At 40.4% G+C, this 9,528-nt stretch overlaps 1 annotated feature.

Moving 5' to 3' along the window:
• Positions 3,403 to 3,452: a silencer, noted in NCBI's record as "silent region_1650". NCBI's record gives its function as "represses an Ori minimal core promoter by ATAC-STARR-seq in GM12878 lymphoblastoid cells {active_cell/tissue: GM12878}" and the evidence as "EXISTENCE:reporter gene assay evidence [ECO:0000049][PMID:35858748]".

The raw sequence follows: 9,528 nt of genomic DNA on the forward strand, positions 1-9,528 counted from the left end.
CCTATCCTGTGCCCATATAAACCCCAGACCTCAGCTGGCAGAGGCACAAGCAGCTGAAAGTTGAGAGGAAAAGAAGCAGCTGAGCATTGGAGTCTATGAATAGATACAGCTTAACTTCAGATGGCACAAATTCGGAGAGGAGCCTTGTCAGAGACAGCCAGCCTTCAGGGAAAGGTTACCTTCTTCCCACACCATCCCCCTTCCAGCTCCCCTCTTCTGAGAGCCACTTCTGCTGCTTAATAAAATCCTCTGCATTCATCACTTTTCAGATTGTTCACGTGAGCTGATTCTTCCTGGATGCCAGACAAGAATTTGGGACACACTGGGTGTGGGAACCCAAAAAGCCTGTCACATTGACTCTTCACTGAGCTGTTTAACACTTAGGCATCCACAGACAGCAAAGCTAAACAAAGCATTAATTGTAACACACCCCTAGACACTGCCATGAGGCTGGAACCCAAAAGTGCTCACCAGGCCACGGCACCCACTGACCTGCATGCTTCCCATCCTGCAAGGGGTATGAGCACTGCAGCCAAGTAAATGAGCCACACCCCTCTCACAAGTCCCATGAAGGGGTCAAGGGAACTTACCTGTCTCTCTTCCTACTACCTGTAATTTCATCCTGTGTCTATTATCTCCATATGTCTTCTCTCCCATCTTCTTCCCTTCCTTTCTCACTCTTATATGTTTCCTCCTTAACCATTTATTTTTTTCTCTCTTCTACTTTTAAAAAGTTACATTTCCTTTCCTACTTTTCAAGGGAGGAAGAGTATGAGCTATTTGGGTACAGGGTAACAAGAAGAAAACCTTTAACCTCTCCTCACCTAAAAATAATTGAAAATATTCAAGAAATGACAGCATTTGAATTGTATTCTATATTGAGGTTTATGTTAAGGTCAGAAATCTGGGCTGAAATTTTTCTAGCTTAAATCAGGAGAATAAAAATGCCAATCTGCTTCAGGTCTTTTCTTTGAATGTAATCTTAACTTGCTTGCTTTTAGGATATTTCAATGTCTAGTATAACTTTCTAATTAAAATGTTCCAACTGTGGTACAGTTTTGATTGTGTAAAATCATTTTCATTTTATGGCATTAAATGTTTAAAAATATCTCTGCCTGTAAGTGCCATCTCATCCCTTCCTAAAATAGACAACATATTTGATTATTATCCTGGGACATTTTCCCTAATGTGAAAGCAAAACTGATGGTTGTGTCATCAACTACTCTGTTGCATTTAAATTCTGAAGCCTTTCCAGGCAGCTGTTTTAGAACATAAATTTGGGGGACCCTCTGTATTTTAATGGTTTGATTACTGCTTCTATTCACTAGTGTATTAGTCCATTTTCATGCTGCTGATAAAGACATACTTGAAACTGGGAAGAAAAAGAGGTTTAATGAACTTATAGTTTTACAGGGCTGGGGAGGCCTCACAATCATGGCGGAAAGCAAAGAGGAGCTAGTCATGTCTTACATGGATGGCGGCAGGAAGAGAGAACTTGTGCAGGGAAACTCCTGTTTATAAAACCATTAGATCTTGTGAGACTCATTCACTATCATGAGAACAGTGCAGGAAGAACCTGCCACTATAATTAAATCACCTCCCACCAAGTTCCTCCCACGACACATGGGCATTGAAGGAGTTACACTTCAAGATGTGATTTGGGTAGGAACACGGCCAAACCATATCATTCCACCCCTGGCCCCTCCCAAATCTCATGTCCTCACATTTCAAAACCAATCATGCCTTCTCAACAGTCCTCCAAAGTCTTAACTCATTCCAGCATTAACTCAAAAGTCCACAGTCCACAGTCCAAAGTCTCCTTCAAGACAAGACAAGTCTCTTCCACCTATGAGACTATAAAATCAAAAGCCAGATAGTTACTTCCTAGATACAATGGGGGTACAGGCAGTGGGTAAATACAGCCATTTCAAATGGGGGAAATTGATCAAAACGAAGCGGCTACAGGCCACACGCAAGTCTGAAATCCAAAAGGGCAGTCAAATCTTAAAGCTCCAAAATGATATCCTTTTACTCCATGTCTTGCATCCAGGTCACGCTGATGCAAAGCAGTGGGTTCCCATGGTCTTGGGCAGCTCCACCTCTGTGGCTTTGCAGGGTACAGCCTCCCTCCCAGCTGCTTTCACTGACTGGAATTGAGTGTCTGTGGCTTTTCCAGGCACACAGTGCAAGCTGTCAGTGGATCTACCATTCTGGGTTCTGGAAAATGGTGGCCCTCTTCTCACAGCTCCACTAGGCATTGCCCCAGTAGAGTCTCTGTGTAGGAACTCTGACCCCACATGTCCCTTCTGCACTGCTCTAGCAAAGGTTCTTCATGAAAGCCCTGCCCCTGCAGCAAACTTCTGCCTGGACATGCAGGCATTTCCATACATCTGCTGAAATCAAGGCGGAGGTTCCCAAACCTCAATTCTTGACTCCTGTGCACCTGCAGGCTCAACACAATGTGGAAGCAGCCCAGGCATGGAGCTTGCACCCTCGGAAGCCATGACCTGAGCTGTACCATGGCCCCTTTTAAGCATGGCTGGAGTGGCTGGGATTCAGGGCACCAAGTCCCTAGACTGCACACAGCATGGGGACCATGGGCCCAGCCTACAAAACTATTTTTTCCTCCTAGGTTTCTAGGCCTGTGATGGGAACAGCTTCCATGAAGACCTCTGACATGCCCTGGGGACATGTACATTTTCCCCATTGTCTTGGGGGTTAACATTCAGCTCCTTACTACTTATGCAAATTTCTGCAGCCTGCTTGTATTTCTCCTCAGAAAATGAGATTCTCTTTTCTATTGCATTGTCAGGCTGCAAATTTTCTGAACTTTTATGCTCTGCTTTCCCTATAAAGCCAAGTGCCTATCTCCCAACCTCTGAGGAAAAAAGACAGGATGAAGGTTTAGTTGATCACCAATAGCCAATAATTTAATCAGTCATGATTTTGTAATAAAATCTCCATTAAAACCAAAAAGGACACGGTTTGGAGAGCTTCCAGATGGCTGAACTTGTAGAGGTTCCTGGAGGGTGGTATTTCCAGAAAGGAAACATGGAAGCTCTTTGTCCCTACCCCACCCCTTGACATATGCATTTCTTCATTTGTATCTTTTGCCATATCTTTTATAATAAACCAGTAAACATAAGTAAGTTTTTCCTGAGTTCTGTGAGCTGCACTAGCAAATAAACCCAACCCAAAGAGGGGTCTTGGGATCCTCCATTTGTGACCATTCAGTAAGAAGCACAGATAAAATAACCAAGAGCTTGAGATTGGCATTTAAGGAAGAAGAGACAGTCTTGTGGGACTGAGTTTGAGCCCTCAACCTGTGGGATCTGATGCCATTTCTAGGAAGATAGTGTCAGAATTGGACTGCATTAGAGGACACCCAGCTGGTGTCCTCTGCAGAATTGCTTGCCTGCTTGGTGCATACAGAAATACTCCTCAAACATCTGGTCACAATAAGTCTTCTGTGTTGATTGTTGTGGTTCTGTAACCGCCCAATGAGTGCTTCCTGCCTGCTGCCCATAGAGAGCCAATTTATCAAGGCAGAGAAACTGAAAGCACCATTGCAAAACTATAACTGAGACAGTGAAAGAGATCTGACCTAACCATCTCCATCTTGCTTCTACCTTCCAAGCTATCCTTGTTCATTCCCGAGCATGGGCTGACCCAGCTGTGGGAGAGACTTAGTTTATAGTTTAAAACAAAGACACTGGCAAACCTTTCCCTAAACAAACCTTCTTGTCTGGGGACTAGACTGCCTTTGTAGGACTAACAAATTAGCCATAAGACTAGAAATTATAGTTTAGGAGTCATGCAGCTGGATGCTACAAGATTCTCACCCTCCCTAAATTGCTCTTAAGATCAGTGCTTGGGACATTTTTCAGACCCTGCACTTGAGATCAGCTGGCACCACCCAGATTGATAAACTGGCTCATCTGATCTTGTGGCCCCCACCCAGGAACTGACTCAGCACAAGAAGAGAGCTTCAATTTCCTACAATTTCATCTTCAACCCAACCAATCAGCATTCCTGGCTCACTGGCTTACTCCCACCCACCAAGCTGTCCTTCAAAGCTCTGCTCCCCGAATACTTTGATTTGAGTAATACTTACACTCCGGTCTCCCACACAGTCAGCTCTGCATGGAATTACTCTATCTATTGCAATTCCCCTGTCTTCGTAAATCAACTCTGTTTATGAAGTGGGCAAGGTAAAACCACTGGGTGGTTAAAATTTGCAATAGAGAAAGAGTTTTACACATACAGAGTCTGTTAAATGGAAAACCAGAGTTTTATTATTCCTCAAATTAGCCTTTTGGAAAATTCAGATGCTAAGATTTTTCAAGGATAGTTGGGGGGATGTTGGGGGTGGCTAGGCAATGGATGCTTGTGGCTGATTGTTTGGGGGTGAAATCACAGGGGTGTGGCAAATGGTCCTCAAGTGCACTGAGCTGCTTCTAGGTGGGGCCACAGGAGTGGTTCATGGGTCCAGGTAGAGACATTGGGTCCAGGTCAGACATGCATACAAAAAAACCTGAATATATATGTCAAAAGCCCAATCTTAGGTTTTTCAATAGTGATGTTATCTGCAGGAGTAATTGGGAAGTTCCATATGTTGTGACCTCCAGAATAATGGCTGGCAATTATTTATGTCTACACCTTAGCAGAATTCAGGCCTCTCTCATCCCCCTAGCCTGATGGTTTCTTATTATCTTTACAAAGGTGGTTGTGTTTTGGAGAAGGGCTATTATCACTTAAACTACAAACTAAATGTCTCTCAAAGTTAGCTTGGCCCAAGCCCAGGAATAATTAAGGGCAGGTTGAAGGCTAGAGGCAAGATGAGGATTGGCTGGACCAGACCTCCCCTACTGCCATAATTTTCTCACTGTTATAATTTTTGCAAAGGTGGTTTCAGTGTGAGAGTGGAGGAAAACTGGTTTGTTTTTTTTCTTATAGTCTCTTTCTGCAAAATAACTAATTAGATTTCCAAATGTATATTCCCAATATATAATTCTAATATACAACCTGCTTCATATCCACATTTATAGTTTCACACTTGAAATTACTGCATGAATGTCCTCACAGCACATAAACACTCAACATAATCACATTCAGTTCATAATCTTCCTTCTAAACCTACTCTCTTTGTAAATGAAATGGCCATTGATATAAAACATTCTGGTCTTCTATTCCAACATCTATTCTCCTGATCCCCTTTAAAACCAGAACCCAGATTTAAGCAGAGCTCATTCTTGTTCTCAGTAAAAGTTTACATTTTCCTAGGCTTTTTTTTCAGCTAGCTTGGCAGTGTAAGTCAATTTTAGTGAATTAGATGTAAGCAACAGTGTAATATGGACCAGCCTGCTTGAAGTGAACCAACTCAGTCTGCATTCCTGCTACTGCTTCATTTATAGCAATGGAGATGCTATAAATGAAATTCTTGAATCATCTCCTTGAACTATGAAGCAGATGCTTAAAGATGGAAGCATTATACTAAGATGGTGGAATAGAAAGATGAAAACTCTAGTTTGCTTATGATACTATAGAACTGCCATATCAGTTTTGGACTGCCTACCTCCTAATTTATTTGTTGTGTTAGAAAAATATACCATTCTCTTGTTCAAAAATTTTTATTTTAGATTTTTATGTTATAATAAGCTGAACTTATTTAAAAATTGAATCACTCTTTTACTGGTCCACAGTTAGAATAATGTTTTATTCTGCCTTAATTTTTTCCATCTACTTCTAATAATTAGCTGCCATGTTAAAAGGGAAACAATTAGTGACACTTTCTGCTTCCAGGCACATTCCAGATGCAGATAAAGGAGCAGGGTAAAAAATAAATCCCAAGAAGATGATGGTAGTTTTTCTGCCTGAGTTGAGACAGACATCAAAGATCAGGAAGTCTGAAGGGGCTAGAAATTTCCAAGCTTGTGAAAAGTCTGGACATAAATAGTAAAAAACGGCCCAGAAATCAGCATAATGAGGTGCTGCTCTCTGCTGAATACTAATACATAAATATATGGGCAAAATTTGTAATGCTAAGCATAGGGGGAAGAAAGAATTGTGAGACATAGGACTGGGAAGTATTTAAGATCCTAACAGCCATAGTCACACAATTTTTTGATTACTTATGGCATTTAATAGAAAAGTAAAAAGGAAAGACCTTTAGTTGTAGGGCTAAATAATTGTCAGGGTAGATGTTACTCTAGACTTACACATACACAAACAAACTGATTAACTAGACCTAAAAGAATCATACTGAATCACATGAAACTTAATAAATGTGGTTGGAAGAACTAGATATTCCTACAGGAAAAAATAAAGCTCAGTCTTTATCTTACACCATACATACAAACATTGATTAACAATCTATCATGGACCTAAATATAAGCAACAAAACTATAAATATATAAAAGGAAAAAATTAAATATAGGATAATTTTTTTGCAAAATTTGGATAAGCAAAGATTTCTTATACAATAAACACAAAAATTAAATTAAAACAATGATATAATAAAATTTTTATTAAAATTAAAGACTTCTCATAAATTTACCATTGTCAACCTTAAATAATGAGATTTAGAAAATATGATTAAAGTCAGGCTTGGTGGCTCATGCCTGTAATCCCAGCACTTTGGGAGCCCAAGGCAGGCAGATCACTTGAGGTCAGGAGTTCCAGACCAGCCTGGCCAACGTGGTGAAACCCTGTCTCTACTTAAAATACAAAAATTAGCCAGGCGTGGTGGTACACACTTGTAATCCCAGCTACTCAGGAGGCTGAGGTACAAGAATCACCTGAACTAGGGAGGCAGAGGTTGCAATGAGCTGAGATAGCACCACTGCACTCTAGCCTGGGCAACAAAGGAGGCTCCATCTAAAGTAAATAAATAAATATATGTCTGTGTGTGTGTGTGTGTGTATATGATTAAGTACAGAACTTATTGAAACTTAAAGCTTGAGTATGGCCACTGGGGAAAGCACCAACTCAAACAAATTGAGTCAACATTTCCAAAGTGGAGAAGTTAAAGTTTCAATTACATAGGTTGTAAACTCCCAAAATCTAAGACAGGTCTCAGTCAGTGTAGAAAGCTTATTTTGCCAAAGTTAAGGATGTGTGCCCCTGACACAGCCTCAGGAGGTCTTGACGACTGGTGCCCAAGGTGGTCAGAGCACAGATTGGTTTTGTACATTTTAGGGAGACATAAGATATCAATCAACATATGTAAGATGAACACTGGTTTGGTCCAGAAAAGCAGGACAAAAGTAGGGAGGGGACTTGAAGCAAAAGTGGGGAGGGGACTTCCAGGTCATAGGTAGATAAGACACAAATTGTTTCATTCTTTTGAGTTTCTGATTAGCCTTTTCAAAAAAGGCAATCAGATACACATTTATGTCAGTGAGCAGAGGGATGACTTTGAATAGAATGGTAGGCAGGATAGCCCTAAGCAGTTCCCTACTTGACTTTTCCCTTCAACTTAGTGATTTGGGGGCCCCAAGATTTATTTTCCTTTCTCAAGATAGAGACAGAGATGTTCCTGCAGGATTGCAACATTTTCCATACAAGACCAGGTGCAGATGTCACAGTGTCACAGCTATTTAATTGGTTACTGATTGTTGTATTCCAAGGAGGATTACTTTATTACTCCTTGAGGAGGAGTCCTGATCTGACAGGGTCCTATCTCTGGTACCATTTGGTCTTAATTTTTTAGAGACAAAAGGAAAAGATAAGGCAGAAGTTACCTGACTTCTGTGCAAAGCCACCTGACTTAGGTCACATAGCCACATTCCTCTCAAGGCTTGAGATAATATAAAGTTTCAACAGCTTTAAGTTTGAATTATTTTAAGTTTAAGTTAATTTCACACTATTAAGAAAATGAAAAGGCAAGTTATAGACTTGCAAAAGAAAATAAAATTTCAGAACCCTCTAAATTTATTATGCCAAGAGGGAAGTTAAGCCCAGGGGATTGAGTCACTAGCATGTTTGAAATTTCTGCTTCTTAGGCTATAGATTAACTTTCTCCTTCATTGTTCTTATTCTGTAAATGACTGGAAAAGATTAGAAACCAGACCTACTCCCATTCTAAACTCTGATGTTTGTTATAGATTAACTGCCTCCCTTATTGGCCTGTACCTAACTTAGACAAGATGGCACAAAAGACCCCAGGGTTGTTATATCTTTAGTATGAAATGTTAAATATACCTTTCCTAAAACAAAAAGACCACCTAAACAAATCAAATCATTGTACTATGCGTTAATCCTTATACAGACAAATTTTGAAATTCTCTTTGGCTTCCCTAAACTTTGTCTATATAAACGATCCCAAACTTCTACTTTTTGGAGCACTTGTAAACAGACAGGGAGGGATTATAGGAATTTAGTCAATTAGAGCAATCAGCCTGTTATACAGCCTTCTACCCTGCAGCCTATTCTTCCCCAAATCCTGGATGGAATGGTTTAAACCATGGTCACCTTGTTGGTTTAAACCAGCTCCTGGAAGACCCCAAGCAATTTACAGATAAACCTGAGCTTTCCTCTTGAGCATGCTACAGTCTTCACCTCAGGAGGAGGTATACCTTCGTTACCATAACACGTAGTTTATGTGCTGACATGATGACTCACTGTGTCTGCGCAACTGAAACCTCTCCTCTACTTGTGATGATGCCCCTCTTCCCTCTCCTTTGCCCTATAATGCCCTCCTTTTACCTTTCCCAAGGGGAGACACTGTTTTGAAGAATTTTCCCAGTGTTCCCCTCCTGCCAAGTAATAAAAATCCTATTGATCATAACCTATGCTATCTTGGAGAGTCTTTTGTTACTTGGTAGGTTAACGAACGCTGGTATTTTGGGGGTAACACACAGACTTCCATTTTTTGGATCTGTTCTTCCTAGACAGCTGTCCTCAAACTTTGCACTTGAATAAACTCTCTTTAAACTAGATTCTGACCCTTTTGATTATTTTAGTTTGACAGACTGAAAATAAATCAATCAACCTTTCTTTCTTTCACCCTTCTTTCCTTCCTTCTTTCCTTCCTTCCTTCTTTCCTTCCTTCCTTTTCTTCCTGCCTTCTTCTTTTCTTCTTTCTTACTGTCATCTATCTATCTAATCTATACATTTCTGATAAAGTATTTTTGTATAGGATATATATACAACTTTGCACCTAAATAATAATGAGACAAAATAACTCATGGACAGAATATTTAAGCAGAGTTCAGAAAAGATAAATAAATTCCTACTGCACACATGAAACAAAATGCTCAAAATCATCAGTCATTAGGGAAATGCCAACAACATCAAAATCAAAAAGATACCACTGCAAATATACTAGATTGTCAAACATTAAAAAGACTAATGGCTAGGTGTGATGACTCACTCTTGCAATCTCAGCACTTTGAGATGCCAAGGAAAGAAGAAATTGCTTGAGCCCAGGTGTTCCAGACCAGCTTAAGCAACATAGGGAGACCCTGTCTCCACAAATAATTTATGAAAATAGCCGGCTCTGGTGGCTTGCACCTGTGTTCCCAGCTT

Source organism: Homo sapiens, chromosome 1 (assembly GCF_000001405.40).
Source record: "Homo sapiens chromosome 1, GRCh38.p14 Primary Assembly".
In the NCBI taxonomy this organism is placed as follows: Eukaryota; Metazoa; Chordata; class Mammalia; order Primates; family Hominidae; genus Homo; species Homo sapiens.